A 16447-nucleotide genomic window follows, 5' to 3' on the forward strand; every position below is an offset into this window, starting at 1 on the left:
GCTCACCCACTGGTGTAGGAGCATTCTTGCATGTATGTGTGTGCACACGTGTGCATGCACACACTGTGCCTCCTGCCCCCCATCAGTTAACTGTAATACAGCATGGTAAGTGCTGAGCTTCCAGGTGAATGAGTCAGAAGGCAAAATGGATAATGATGCCTGGAAAAGTCAGAGGAGATAACATTTCTGCTAAGCCTTGAAGGAGGAATAGGATTACACCAAACAGAGACAGAGGAAAGGCATTTTGGATGGAAAGACAACCTAGCAAAACCTGGAAGTTCCAAGGTTTTGGAAGGCAAGTTGGGTATCCTGATGTAGCCATATCTCAGCAACGAGAAGTGAAAAATCCCCCTGAGAAGTGAGTCTGTAACGTTCCCTTTGCTTCAGCTTACTCACTTGTGGGTGATTCATTTGCCTATTTCATAGGGTTGGAGGGTTAAAAAAATCTAATGGATGTAAGGTGCTTAAAATGGTCTCTTGCACATAACTTACTAGGTACTCCACAAATGTTACTATGATGGTCATTATCTGTTCCCTTCACAATTTCATCTTAGCCCTCCTTTCAGACTTTGGCTTTCTAACAGTTCAGTGGCCTTCTTGGGCAGGCTTTGTGCGTCGCTCCTGTAGGTGAACCATCTGGGCCTCCTTCAGCCGTGTTGCTAACCCCCTTGAGAATTCCAGGCTCTGAGGTGGAGGGAGAGAGGGCAGAAGCTCACACTCTTTGGTTTTAACATTCATACTCTCCAAAGCCTGTTTCTGTGCTGAAGACTCTTAAACATCAAGCTGGGCTTCTAATTTGGAAATGTGGAAAAGCTGTATAATTTCACACATTTTCCATGAAGTGCTGTAAATTTCTAGGCCCAGGCAATAGTGCTGTGTCAGGGTGATGAAATGGAAAAAGCTATTGGTGTGGGACACTTTGTTTTGACACAAGCCACAGCCGTGCCATTTTGGACACATTCTTCATCTCCCTGGGCCTTAGTTTCTTGATGATGTTGATGATGATGATGATGATGATGATCCTAATGATGACAGTGATGATGAAGAATATCTACCACAGTGAGAAAGGCACCTGCCAGGCTCTAGGTCATTTAATCTTATTTCATCTCACAACAATTCTGTGGGGTTGGTATTATTATCCCCATTTTTCAGATGAGCAAATGATGCCTCAAAGACTGTAACTCAACTTTTTTGAGATCTTATGACTAGTAAGTATCAAAGTCGAGTTCAAACTTGGGGCTATCTAACCCTGAATATCAGTCATCCTCATTACCCCCTCCCTATGATTTTTTCTTCTAGGAAAATGAAGAGATTTGGTGGGATGATCTTGAAGGATACTTTAACCTCTAAACTCCATGGTCTATGGAAGGGCTTCCTTTCTCTCTTCAAAGGTTGTTGATGTTATTGAATTGATGTTATTGTGAGATCTTTGTCACAAACATGTTGTTCCAATGTACCTGGTGGAGTAGAACAAGTTGGTGTGCACAGAGGGTGGAAAGTTGGTGTCATGGGCATCTATATTTATTCCAACCCAGAAGAGGAAGGGTGGAGTGAATAGTGCCTGTCTATGCTTCCTGGTGCCAGGTGGGATTAAATTCATCATTGGATTTGGGATGTTTTGTCATTTTTGGTTTCAGCCACACCTTCTGAGCTAGTTGCTTTTTATAGACAAGGGAACCAGGTGTTTTCTGCAGACAGAGAGGCTTCATAAGCACCCTGGGGCCAGCTCAGATGCAGGAAGGACACTGGCTCCAAGTGACCCAGGTTGTTGAGCCACCCAGTAAAGAGAGGTCAGCAGCTGCAGCTGTCCCTGGCAAGCTGGGGACAGTCCTCAGCCTGAGCAGAATGGATTGACCAGCTTAGAAGAGAGGGGTTGATTTATAGGAGGGTCTTTAGTCCTGGCCTCTGGATTCACAGACCTGAGTTTGAATCCAAGATCTGCTACATGGCCTAGCAAAGTATCCTGGATGCATGGATATGGATGTGTCTTCTAATGGAAAAAAGGTGTTTACAGCTCTCAGAGTGTCAATGGGACCAACTACACTTCCCCATATCTTTTTAAAAAATTTTATCTATTTTTAAATAATAATAATAAAGATTTCTTTTTTTTTTTGCCAGACATGGTGGCTCATGCCTGTGATTCCAGCACTTGGGAGGCCAAGGTAGGAGAAGTGCTTGAGCCCTGGTTCACTACCAGCCTGGCCAGCATGGCAAAACCCTGTCTCTACAAAAAATACAAAAATTAGCTGGGCATGGTGGTGCATGCTTGTAGTCCTTGCTACTTGGGAGGCTGAGGTGGGAGGATCACCTGAGCCTGAGAAGCCGAGGCTGCAGTGAGCCGTGATTGCACCACCCCACTCTGGCCTGGGTTGACAGTGAGACCCTGTATCAAAACATTTCTTTTAGAGACAAGGCCTTGCTGTGTTGCCCAGGCTGATCTTGAACTCCTGGGCTTAAGCAGTCCTCCCACCTTAGTCTCCAGAGTAGCTGGGGCTACAGGTGTGTGCCACCAAAACTGACTTCCTCATTTCTTGAATTGAGGTGTAACATGTATATAAAGTATGACTTTTTGTGGTAAAATATACATAACATAATATTTAACCATTTTAACCATTTGTAAGTATTCAATTTGGTGGCATTAAATACATTCACGGTGTTGTGTAGTCGCTACCGTTATCTATACCCCCAATTTTTCCATCATCCCCAACAAAAACTCTGCACTCATTATCAGTAACTTCCCCTTTGTCCCTATCCCCAGGCCCTAGTAATCTCAAGTCTACTTTCCGTCTCTATGAATTTTCCTATTCCAGATACCTTGTGTAAGTGTAATCATGCAGTGTTTGCCCTTTGGTGTCTGGCATATATCATGTATAATGTTTCCAAGGGCTGTCTGTGTTGCAGCATACATCAAAATTTCATTCCTATTCATGGCAATAATATTCCATCGTATGTAGAGACCACATTTTGTTTATTTGTTGATGGACACTTGGGTTGTTTCCACTGTTTGGCTCTTGTGAATAATGCTGCTGTGAACACTGGTATAGGAATATCTGTTTGAGTTCCTGCTTTCTATTCTTTTGGGTATAAACCTAGGAGCCTAGGAGTTTTGGAATTCCTGGGTAAAGTGTACCCATCTAAAGTGTTCAACCTGATGCATTTTTTCATATGCTTACACTTGTGGAACCACTACCTAGATCAGGCTATGGAAGATTTCTAGTACTCCAGAAGCCTCCCTTGAGCTCTCCTACAGGCAATCCTTGCCCTCTCCCTGAGGGGACCACAATTCTTCCATCTTCTCAGCCTCAGGCTCCTTCCATGGGCCAGGCTTGGAGACTCATGGAAGGTTAAACAGGTCAATGGACTAAAGGGACACAGACACATACACACACAGACACACACAGACACACACACACACACACACACACACACACACACACACACACACACACTTGGTCTCTCTGTAACCTTGTAATCCAAAGAAATGCTTTTAGTCCATATTTTCATTTGGGCTTTTTTGGTTTCTTGTCTTCTGAGATTGTTTTAGAAGACACAGTGATTCCTGACTTCTTAGTTTTTCAAGGAGACTTGCATGTCTAAGAAAGTAACCTTGCCTGGCTGGATTTTGAATTCCTGGGTCTGAAATTGTAATGCTGATAAGAAGTGAACCACTGAAATGAAGGAGTTTCCCCTTGTAAGAGATGAGAAGGCACGTGGTCACCTCCTGCAGGACATCGGTCAGTCTGCAGCACTCAGGGGTGGAGGCTTCTGGGTGCTGGAGCTGGAGAAAGGAGCCCTCAGGAATCTTTGGCTGAACCTCGCAAGGCCCCTTAAAGGGAGGGGTAGGTTGTGAAGAATACAGAGGAGCAAAATGGGGACCAGGAAGTGTTGGGGACTGAGGAGGCCCTGGGGGCTGTGACCAACCCCCGCTGCCACTGTCTCTGCTTCTTGCTGAGTGTCTGCTCTTTCCCCCTCACTACTCTCTGGAGGTCTTCATCCTCTGTTCTGTGTATCTCTTCTCTGATACTTCTGCTCACTCCCAGGTTTGGCTTTCACATGGTTTGGATGCACCCTGAACCCCCATCACTCTACTCTTCCTCCCAGACCCTTCCAGCTTGGCTCCCACCAATTGTTGCCCATCATCTCAGTAAGCCCTGGTTCAGATTCCTAGTACAGGAAATGTGGCTGGCCCAGTTTCTCTTCTCATGCCAAGTCGAGCCAGAGGCAGCTGCTTGGCCTGGAATGGGCTGCTTCTGGTCCAAGCCGTTTTCCTGCTCCGTGCTTTGGGGAGAACATGCTCAGCCTTCTGCCTTTGGGATATAATTCCCACTCCACAGTGGAGGCAGCAGAGGCCAGAGAGGTCAAGTGATGTGCCTATCCGTGTCGACAGATCAGGTCAGATGTTGATGGTGGTGGTTAGAGGTGGGGTGGGATGAGTGGAGTAAATGGGGAATGAGGGGATTTAGGATAAAGTAGAGGGCAGCATTATTCTCATTATGATGAGTTCCATCTTGCCCTATGTTACATGGAGTTCCTCCTGCCCCTGGACCCCCATGGTTCTCAGTGAATTCCCCATCACTCCCCATCTCCCAGTGCAGTTATTATACAAAGCTCAAACCTCCCGGAGGTATGTGTACATTCCAGTTCCTCCACATCCTCCCCAACCCTCAATATGGTCAGCTTTAAAACGTTTAGCCATTCTAACAGGTAGTGAGCCCCTCTAATTCCTCACGTTGAAATGATTCAATGTACTTAAATTTGCTTCCCACGTGTGTTTACTCTAGCACTTGCTTTTATTTTTAGATGATGATGATTGCCCAAAGTAAGGTGATCATGCATAAAATCAGTAAGACATTGTGCTAGGAGTCTTTTCCTTGCATATGACAGGAAACTCAACCCCAGTTGGATTAATCATTAAAGGGAATTTGTTGATTTGCTTAAATGAACATCCCGGGGGACTTCAGGAGCACCTTGATCCAGAAATAATGTAACCTAGATGAAGAAACTCAGTCCCGTTTCCCCTGGCTTGGCTCCAGGTTCATGAAAATTCTCTCCTCATTATCACAAGATGCTTACCTATGGCCCTCGGGGCTATGGTACTTCCAATTAATATACAGCAGGGAAGAGACTATCCCTTTCTTCAATCATTAAACAAAATCTTGGATTTTGCTCTTACTGGACCAGTTTAGGGAGCATAAACCAGCTCTGCACCCACCTCCTATGAACGGGACAGTAGGATTATACACATTAGCATTTTTTTTTTTTGAGATGGAGTCTTGCTCGTCACCCAAACTCGAGTACGGTGGCACCGTCTCGGCTCACTGCAACGTCTGCCTCCTGGGTTCAAGAGATTCTCGTGCCTCTGCCTCCAGAGTAGCTGGGATTACAGGCACACGCCACCATGCCCAGCTAATTTTTGTAGTTTTAGTAGAGACAGGGTTTCACCATGTTGGCCAGGCTGGTCTCAAACTCCTGACCCCAAGTGATCCACCCGCTTTGGCCTCCTAAAGTGCTGGGAGTACAGGCGTGAGCCACCACACCCAGCCTACACGTTAGCTTTTACCCAACGGCTTTTACCCAACCCACATGCCCTACAGTAGAGCCAGAGGGGGGCACCTGGGGAAGGCATGGGGAGGGGTAGGTGCTGTAAAAGTCCATTGCTGCTACCAAAAGACAGAACGCACACTGGGCAGTCCAGGACAATCCATCTCTACTGAGGACATTGAGTAGTGTGGAGCTGGACCGGGTCCCTGTCCTTTTGTCCACTTAGCTTGCTGGATGAAAGGGCACCTTTTGAACGGAAGGTTCAACTGGAGAAGTCTCTGAATCAAGGAAAACGGCTTGCCCTGTCTGGCTTGCTGAAATGCTTCTCATTTTCCTGCTCGGGCCCAGACTGGGAAGTCCAGCCAAGCCCAGCGCTGTATCTCCCCCACTGCTTCATTTCTTTCCAATCAGACTCTTTTGTTTCCTGGAGATGCAGTTGCTTTGGCTACCAGGTTGAGGCTTTGGCCTCGCGAGTGTGGATTTACAATCATCCTCCCTTCAGTTGCCTTCACGGAGCTGTGATTTGTCCGTGGCTGCCTGTGAGAGGATTCTAATCCCTGTGGAGCCTGTGACACTCTCCTGACCTCCTGTTACTTCATGGCCTCGTGTGGGCTCCCCGAGGTAGCTCTGCTCCTCGAGCCCCTCCCTCCCAGCCCAGCTCCCGCCGCACCCGCGCCCTCACCCTGGCTCTTCCGCTCTCTGCTGCTCCGTCTTACTGCAGCTCTCAGGGAATCGTATTCCCTCTTGACTCTGTGCCCTGCTTCTGTTGCTCTTTTCTTTCTTTTTTGTTTCCTCCACCCTCTTTTTTGCTCTGCCTCCTTCTCTTTCCTTTATTCTGGCTTCCGATGAGAGGGAGGGCCTGTACTTTTTCCTGGTTTTGGTTTCAACGTTTCACATTATGGATGGGTGTTCCTCTTATTTCGTTTCCATCTTGAAAACTTGGCCATTTGTGTCCCGCTGGATCCAGACACTGGAACACTCAGACATTTCTTGTCCTTTTGTGAGTGGCCAAATGGCTGTGAGACCCAAGTCTCGTGGATCGAACTCTGGATGTGGAGTCAGGACACCCACATTCTAGGTTCGATCCCATAGTCCACTTTCCCTCTCCCTGAAAAGGCAAGTGGTTTCATTGACTTTTTTTTTTTTTTTTTTTGAGACAGGGTCTGTCTCTGTTGCCCAGGCTGGAATGCAGTGGCACAATCATGGCTCACTGCAGCCTCGACCTCGTGGGCTCAAGCGATCCTCCTGTCTCAGCCTCCTGAGTAGCTGGGAACATAGGCGCAGCTACCACTCTCAAGTAATTTTATTTACAAATTTCTTTATCGAAACGGTTTCTCACTATGTTGCCCAGGCTGATCTTGAACTCCTGGCCTCAAGCAATTCTCCCGCCTCCATCTCCCAAAGTGGTGAGATTATAGGGGTGAGCTGTTGCACCCGGCCTTCACCAAGGTATCTGAGATATTTGTGGAGTGCCCCTGGTGTGCTTACAGCATGTACCAGGCTCTTGGGAAAAGGACACTCAGATGAATCTAAACAAGCTGTCCTCTTGCCCTTGGGGGCTTTGCAGTTGTAAAGCACTGAGTCAGAGACACTGAGCTCTCAGTGCACTTTAGAGCAGCACTTGGGCCTGTGGAACCCAGGGCTGGGCAGCTTCTGATGGATGCTACACACTTCATTTGCAAGCTTGTCTGTTCCTCCCGAGACCAACCTCGATCATGAGCTTGATATCATTGCTCCATCTACTCGGTGAGGAATGGGAAGGCTCAGAGCCTTGCGTTGACTTCTTCAAGGCCATAGGTGGAGATACAGCAGCCAGGCCAGCATTTGAGCCCAGGCGTCCCTGCTCTGCCAGTTCATTCCTCTTTTCCAATTGACTGTGAATTCCTACCATCTACTCTTTGGCTTCCATATGACCCATTTCTTTTATGTTTGTGGAAAAGGAGGTTGAGGGAGACAAGTGTGTTTAAAAAAAAGTAAGAAGGATTGGAGTCTAAAAAAAGCTGGCCCAGACCTGCTGCTGCTGAATGCGGATGTTGTCACAGCCCAAATTCCTTAGGGGAAAAGGGATGACTGAGTATTACCAGCATCAAGATTCCGTTTTTCTTATGTGGGTGGTGGGACAGGGGGTGTCTTCTCTATAATACACCTGCATGTTCACGGAGGAAATAGTCACTGATTTATATTTACTCTGTGTGAGCCACACAGCAGTGAGAGCACAACAAAGATTGGGCTAAGTGATTTCTTTTCTTGAGCTGCCTCCACCTAGGGTGCAACAGTGGCTAGTTACAAGAAAGGATACAGTCTTTATCCTAAGGAATATAAGTAATAATAATAATAGTAAACACAGGGCATCCTTCATGTGCTTTTGTGTGTATTAACTCGTTGTTAGAGCACCCCTGAGACATAGGTTTTGTTAACATCCATGTTTTTTAGGTGAGGAATCTGAATCAAGAGAGGTTAGATTTCTCCTTCATGAGCACACAAACAGTAAGTGGGAATAGGGATTGGAACCCAGGCAGGCTGGCTCCGAAGTTCACCCTCTAAGCACAGCCACACTCTGCTTCTCCCAGTGCCCCCAGACACTCAGAAGACCACATTCGCTCCCATTAGGGGGTCTGATGAGGCCTTTTGGAGAGATATTTAAGCTGGCCTTGCAGGAGAGGAAGGAGGATTTCCCTCTATGGATAGGTTGGGGGAAGTTACTCCAGGCCTCAAGGCTGGGCTGGAACAGTGGGAAGCCCTTTACCTCCCAGTGGTGGGAACTGCAGCTTGACATTTAGTTTCTCCAAATAACCACACTGTCTCATGTAACTGTGATGGAGTTAGCAATCATAAATAACCCACACCTCTAAAACATCAGCTTTAGCAAATGTACATGGAATCCCAGAAGCTGATCCTATGACATCTCCAAAGGCATTTCCATCATTGCTTCTACAGTTCTTGCCCTTCCATTCCTGGGAGAGACTTTGCGTTCTTTTGGGGTAAGACAGGAGATGTATGAGGGCTTGGTGAGTTTTCACTCTGCGCTTGATTTGGTACCCTCTGGGGTACTTATATTTACGTTTTAAAGGCCAGAAGGTCTGAGATCTTTCTGCCTCACTTCCTGAGGCTGTGGAGGCCTCCCTCAATCCCTCCTGCGTGCATGTGTGGGTGTAACATCTCCTCTGTGCTATGCCATGTGCTGGGCATATGGATGGAAAGACAGTCCCTGTCCACAAAGAGGTTGGAGTCCAGTGGCGAGGGCATCAGATACACAGATTATCCTGGGTCAGTGTTGTACCCATTGGAGGTGTGTACCAGGTGCAGACAGATCAGGGGCCAGGGCTGGCTTCATGTTTCTTGGGGGTCAAGAGGCTTCCAGGACAGTGAAGTGTGCCCTGCTCACCAAGGACAGACGGGCAAGGTGGAAGCATGTGTTCCAGGAGTTGCAGCCTCAGCATTGCTGCCAGCAGGCTGTGAGGTGGGTGACAGATGAACCTGAGATGTCACTCATCCTCAAAACCTCAGTGAGGCAAACCCCAGGCGAGGAAAATGCAGGTTCTGATGATCACTCAGGGTTCTTGGGCCCTGGTTTCCCGTTCATTGTCCAGATTTTAGACTTCTCCCTTTCCTCTTTCTCCCTGCTGGCCTGCAGCCATTGCAAAAGCTACAGCAGAAGCTCAGCCATGGTGTCCTAAATGCACTGATTTCTCCACGCGTTCAAAACATGTTTAGGAGACTTTGGAGATCCACTAGGAAGGAGGCTCCAGAGGGAAACAAATGCATATTTTGTCTTATTTTTGGTAAAACTAATTACAGAGGATGAACCATTAGAGACACATCCTGTTGTGTTCTAAACAGAGCCAGTGCCCCCAGAGAGCCTCTTCACAATTGCCAATAGCCATTTTCAATTATATGATAGATTATGATTGCATATAGTCAGCATGCTATACAATAGGTCTCCGGAATGTATTCTTGTTTAACTGAAAGCTTGTACTCCTTGGCCAACACCTCCCCATTCCCTGTTTACCCCAAACTCACACCCCCAACCCCTGGCAACCATCATTCTACTCTTCTATGAGTTCCACTGTCTCAAATTCCACATATAAGTGAGATCATGCAGTACTTGTCTTTCCATGTCTGGTTTATTTCACTTAGCATAATGTTCTCCAGGTTTATCCATAGTTGTTGCATATGACAGGACTTCCTATTTTAAAGCAGAATATGATTCCATTGTGTATATATGTGTGTATATATTGTGTTAGGCTGTTTTTGCATTGCTATAAAGAAATACCCGAGGCTGGGTAATTTATAAAGAAAAGAGGTTTAATTCACTACTGGTTCTGCAGGCTGTACAAGAAGCATGGCACCAGCAACTGCTCGGCTTCTGGGGAAGCCTCAGGAAGCTTCCAATCATGGCAGAAGGCGAAGGGAGAGCCAGCATGTCACATGGTGAGAGCAGGAGTGAGAGAGAGGGGTAGTGGGGAAGTGCCACACTCTTTTAAACAATCAGATCTTGTGTGAACTCAGAGCAAGCTCACTTATTATCAAGGAGATGGTGCCAAGCCATTCATGAGGGACCTGCCCCCATGGCCCAATCACCGCCCACCAGGCCCCACCTCCAACATTGTGGATTACAATTCAATATGAAATTTGGAGAAGACATACATCCAAACCATATATCTATATATATCTCTATCTATCTATCTATCTATCTATCTATCTATCTATCTATCTATCTATAGAGAGATACCAAGTCTCGCTCTGTCGCCAGGCTAGAGTGCAGTGGCATGATCTCGACTCACTGCAACCTCTGCCTCCAGGGTTCAAACAATTCTCCTGCCTCAGCCTCCCTAATAGCTGGGACTACTGGTGCACACCACCACACCCAGCTAATTTTTGTATTTTTAGTAGAGATGGGGTTTCACTATGTTGGCCAGGATGGTCTCGGTCTCTTGACCTCATGATCTGCCCACCTCGGCCTCCCAAAGTGCTGGAGTGCTGGGATTACAGACATGAGCCACCGCACCCGGCCAAACTGTATTTTTATACACACACACACACACACACACACATGTACACGCACACCCATATATATATGTATAATTTCTTTATCCATTCATCTGTCAATGACACTTAGGTTGTTTCCATATCTTGGCTACTGTAAATAATGCTGCAATGAACATGTAATGAACGTGGGAGTGCGGATATCTCTTCAACAGGCTGATTTCTTTTCCCTTGTATATAGATCCGCAAGTGGGATTGCTAGTTCATATGATAGTTCTGTTTTTAATCTTTTGAGGAACCTCCATGCTGTTTCCATAATGGCTGTACCGATTGACATCCCCACCACTAGTATACCAGGGTCCTTTTATCTCCTCTGTATTTTCTAAGGTCAAACACCCTTCATCATTGTGTTGCACATAGAAAATAACACCATGGCCGTCATTTTCCCCCCAGTGACTATGCAGTCTTGTTTCACATGAGGAAAACATATCCCTCCTATTACCAACATGTTAAGCTTGTTCTGTATGAGGTGATAACCCTGGCAGGGGAGTTTGTCTCTTTCTTGGGCTTATTTCCATTATGAAGAAGTCCCCCCATTGACTCTGAAGGCTTCCAGTGGTTTATCCTTGAGGCCCACATTTCTGCAAGGCTTATGGTTAACTGTCTGCTCTGAATGAATATCCTGTCTGCTCTGGCTCCAAAATATACCTCCAGTCCCTCTATATCCTCAACTATGTGTGTCCCTCTCTGTAGCCATCTTCCTGGTCTGGGACACTGTTACCTCTCCCCTGGACTCCTGCACAGCCTCCTAGCTAGCCTTTTGGCTGGGTGATCTTTGTTCCTTTGTCTAAGACCCTTCAAAGACTTCGCTGTGCTGAGAATGAAATTCAGGCTTCTTGCCTCCTCCTGTATGGCTGCACTCCTCACCCCTGGCCCTTCCCCACCTTCTCACCTCCCCACTTGTCTCTTGTGCACTCCTTTTAGCCACAGGGCGCCTTTCGGCTCCTCAGACACTTTGCACTTGCCATTCTTCCTCCTGAAACACTCTTCCCCCAGCTTGTTGCAGGCTGACTTGCTTTCCTCTTCTTCCTCCCTCAGCTCAGCCTGAGCTGAAGGTTGAGGTTTTCTTTGGCTGCTGTATAGAATGGCCTCCCCCAGTGACTCTCTGACACATCATTTCGTTTAGTGATGTCTCAGCTCTCATCAGAGTCTATGTGTGCTTGTTTCTTTATGTGTTTATCTGTTATCTGTCTCCCACACTAGAATGCAAGCTCCTTGCAAGCTCAGCCTTACCTGCCCTATTCACCGTGGTATGACCTCTTGTCTAGCAAACATGGAATGCACTCAATACACATTGATCAGACTGGTGGGTGGATAATGGGTGATGCAGTAGAGGATTCCTGACAAACACTGATGCCAATGGAGGGGAAGCTAATGATTCTCTTGGTCAGCCACATCACAGGATACCTGCTGGCTCAGATTCCAAGAGGGCAATATGAGAGCAAATATCACAAGCCTGACATTGCAAATATACCCTGGTTGTATAAACCATGTGCAATTTTTCATGCCATTAATTATATAAATAGTACATGTTTATTGAGTGTGTAGTATGCATTCAGCTTTGGCAGTATAATAAACTACCACAGAATCTCAAGGGCATACAGATCCTATGTCTGCACGTTGGCTGGGGTTTGCCTGTTCTATGCAGGGCTTGGCTGGGTTGGGCTCTGGGCTGCAGGGGGGATCCAGGGCTTCTCTATGTGATCCTTATCCTTCTTAGACTAGCTGGTTCCTTGAGCTGAGGAAGGATCATAAGAGGGCAATGCCAGTTAGGCAGGTCCATTTCAAACCTTTGCTAACATCTCATTGGCCAAAGCAAGTGACATAATCACATCCAAAGTCAAGGGCAGAGAAGGCTCTTCCATGCTCCCTGAGGCCATGGCAAGGGTGTGTGAACCATAACACCACCACCACCACAGGGGAAATGGAGAAATGAGACCAATTCCAGTCTTTGTCAAGTATGTCATTTAGCCCTCCAACAACCTTACCGGGGTTATTAACCATATTATATTACTATTATATATTATGTATTATACTATATGCTATAACTACACTATATCAGTATCTATTTTGCAACGTGTTATGCTATAATTATCCTACAAGTGTATATTACATATTACACTATACTACTAATAATATAGTATATATATTATACTATAAAATATTATTTTTGTGTGATCATGCAAGGTCTTAATATTACCTTCATTTTGTAGATAAAGAAAGTAAGAATGAAGAGGTGAGGAGACTTGCCCAGGGTTGCAGTCAGGAGCAGAGCTGGAGTCTGGAGCCAAGATGTCAGACTCTAGGGTTTCATCAGAGACCCTTGTGATGCTGCTTCCCATGATTTTGATAAAAGAAGCAAAATGCCTCCAAATTGGGATGTAGGAAAAGTTGGCTGCTGGTGTCCTTCCATCTCAAATTCAGATCCTTCACTCTGCCTACTTCCTGGGCATCCTCTGGCAGCCCTCGCTCTGGTCTTTGTGTAAAGGCCTCTTTCCTTTCCATTAAAATTACACAACCAGAGTTCCATGCCCTCTGCATCTCTAACAGCCTTGAGAATCAATGGCTGCTAGTTATTTTCCCAAGAGAGAATTTGTTTGCATTTTTAAGACCCCCTATCCAAAGGCCTAACCAATGTGGGAATTTGAGACACCGAGCAGGCTCAGGGGGAGGTAGTAGGAGACAATGAAGCTTTTTGGAATCTTTAATCACTTTGAGATGGGAAGTCTATTGAATAGAGAGTCGAGATTTCCTTAGCATTTAGTTCCTGTTAATCTTGGTGGCGGGAGGTTGGGATTTGGGGAGGGAGGGAGAGAGAGAGCAAGAACCCTCAGGACTGATGTTGTGGGTGAACATACATGGATATGCAGTTACATAAAGGCATTCCATACCGAGCAGAGGATCTGCTTCAGTTACGATGGAACGTTTCAACTCCATCATTTGGCATGTTCTGTAACCAGAGGTCTTTCAGCACAAGGCAGGCTGGTGGGAATGGGATCTGATTTGAGGACTTAATGTCATGGCCTGTTCTGTGTGTATGTGTACTTGTGTGTTTGTAGAAAATTCAATACTTAATTGTATGCTTCGTCTGCTCACCACTAATTTCTAAAAGAGACATTCCAAAGCCTTGGTTACATTCGCTCATATCTCATAAAAGCCATAACTTGACTGCGGGTGCCCAGAACTAATCCTGTGTGGAGACAGGGGCAGCTGTCACCTGGGAGGGTTGGAGGTTCCGGAAGACCCACTGTCCTGAGAATTACCACCTCCCCAGCATCCATTTCCTTTCTTCCATCCTGAAGGGACTCCAAATTTCCCAGCATGTGGTTTGAGTGACCCACCTCCACCCCCAGATCTAGAAGTGGATTGGTGGAAGGCCGTTAACCTAATTCTTGCTACAGCAAACTGGTTTAGGAGTGGAAGTGTGGTGTGAGTGGATTAAAAAAGAGGCAGCCCAAGATTATGGAGAAAGAGAAACTCTTCCCCCTTCAGATATGAATGAGGATGAACCCTGTTAGTTCTCTTGTGACAGTGAGAGGAGCTGCCTTGACATAGCAGCTGACACTGGGAAGGTCCACAGAGAGATGGAAGCAAATGAATGAATGGGAAGGTCCACAGAGAGATGGAAGCAAATGAATGACTTGGAAGGTCCACAGAGAGATGGAAGTAAATGAATGTTTAGTGAAAATGTTTAACTGGATCAGACCCCACCTGAAGCCTGTTCTACCTCTAAGATCTTTCATTCTCTTTATAGGTTAAGCCTGAGTTTGGTCTTCTGTTACTTGGAACTGAAATAATGTGCATTGACACACCTAACAAGTCAAAGTATTGTCTTTTGCTGGTCTGCTCTGGTCCTGGAAACATCCACTGATAGAATCACTGGTCTGGGACAAATTGTGGTACCCAAAGACCTCAGGAAGCACTTAGAAGCATTACTCCTGAAGTCCCATTCGTCCCAAGAAGAGTTGCTGGCTGGAGGAGACAATATGTAAACATGTCATGACAAGATGGTGTGGTGAGTGCTATGTTGGCATGTTGGAGGCAAGCATAGCCATGCTCACAGTGAGGAATGACTTAGGAGCGCAACCACAGCCCCATGCTACCTTCCACCATTTGGATAAAAGAAGGAAAATGCCTTCAAATTGCGATGTAAGCTCTGTCCAGAGAATTTAGGGATGGTTTTACCCAACAGGATTTGTGAGGCATCGACCACCCACCAAGCACTGTTCTAGGTGGTGGAGTCACTGCAGTGAGCAAAACAAAGTCCTTGTCTGCATGGATCTTTCATTCCAGTTGGGGTGGGTAACAATAAACACATAAGCAATAAGCAATTGAAGACAGGAGAGAATACAAATGGCATGAAGAAAAATAACACTAGTGAGTGATTGAGAGCAGGGCAGAGGGAAAACCTGTCTAGGGAGGTAACGGAGAAGAAGAGACCTGAGGAGGGGCGCAAAGTGAATCACAGAGCCACGTCAGAGAGGATGCTCCAGGCAGAGCAAATACAAGAACAGAGGCCCCAGAGCTGGGACCACAGGTTTGATATTAGAGGCTGGGGTGGGGAGCAGGGGTAAGGCAGAGTGAGTGAGGGGCAGGGAGCAGATGAGTTCAGAGGGTTAGTGGGTGCCATGTCCTGGGGCAAGGTCTTCAAGGCCATGGTGAGGACCTTGGATTTTACTCTGATGAGTAAGGGCCTATGGAGGGTTTTAAGGCATTGCACAATTTGAGGTATGATTTAACCCTCCCACCCTCCTGCTGCCATATGAGAGCAGACTCTAGGGAGGTTTAGTGGGTTGACTGGCGGGTCCCCTAAAAGATATGTCCACATCTTAACTCCCAGAATCTCTGAAGGTGACCTTATTTAGAAAAGGGTAATTAAGTTAAGAATCTCGAGATAAGGTCATCTTGGATTATCTGGATAGGTCCTAAATCCCGTGACAAGTGTTCTTACAAAAGACAGAAAAAGAGAAGATGGGTGGTAAGAGAAGGCCATGTGAAAATGGGGGCAGAGATTGGAGTCTAGTAGTCACAAGCCAAGAAATCCCTGGCACTACCAGAAGCGTGTAGAGGCAAGGAAAGAGACTCTCCTAGAGACTCTGGAGGAATCAGAGTGCTGCTGATGGGTTAGTTTCTGATTTCTGGCCTCTAAAACTGTGAGATAATAAATTTTTGTTGTTTTAAGCCATCAAGTCTGAGATAATCTGTTATGGCAACGTAAGAAGCTAATACAAGATGCAGGAGTGAAGCAGCGAGGTCTGGAAAAAAGCTATTGCAAAAATACAGGTAAGAAATGAAGCTACCTTGGCCTAGAGTGGGAGCAGTGATGGGGCAAGAGGCTGTCCCACTGTGAAGGTAGGCTTTGCTGAGGTATTAGATGTGGGGTATGAAGGAAAGGAGTCAAGGAGGACTGTGACATTAATAGTGTCAGACTGAGTAACTGAAGGGTGGAATTGACATCTGAAAGGGGGAGACAGGGAGAATCAGGTTTGTGTCGGGGAAGGACAGGTGTTTGAGTTGCTTATTAGACACCAAGTGGCTATGTCGAGTAGGTAGGTGGATATGAGAGCCTGTTACCTGGATCAGATATATACACCTGGGTAACACAGGCATAGTGATGGCACGAAAAGCCAAGAGCCTGGATGAGCAAGCCAGGGAGTGAGAGTAGACACAGAGGAGGCATAACAGGGAAGGAACACTTGGATACACCCATGTTACAAGGTCAGGGAGGTTAGAAAGACCTGATGAAGGAGACTGAGAAGGAGCAACAGGAGAGATAGGAAGAAAACCTGGTGAGCATGGTGTCCCAGGAGGCACATGAAGAAAGTACAGGGTCAGTCAAGATGAATGGGGCACAATAACA

At 46.3% G+C, this 16447-nt stretch overlaps 1 long non-coding RNA gene across 2 annotated transcripts in view; it reads left to right on the plus strand.

Moving 5' to 3' along the window:
* The window catches only part of LOC105377732 (uncharacterized), a 139446-nt gene that overhangs the window by 44571 nt on the left and 78428 nt on the right, over positions 1-16447 (plus strand). The window contains exons 2-3 of one of the 2 annotated variants that reach the window (XR_001743001.1): positions 14342-14602; positions 15770-15870. This is a non-coding gene — a long non-coding RNA (uncharacterized LOC105377732). Of the gene's footprint in view, positions 1-14341; positions 14737-15769; positions 15871-16447 lie in introns of both variants that reach the window. The other variant, XR_007059057.1, reaches the window with a different exon arrangement.

This window comes from Homo sapiens, chromosome 5, assembly GCF_000001405.40.
Source record: "Homo sapiens chromosome 5, GRCh38.p14 Primary Assembly".
In the NCBI taxonomy this organism is placed as follows: Eukaryota; Metazoa; Chordata; class Mammalia; order Primates; family Hominidae; genus Homo; species Homo sapiens.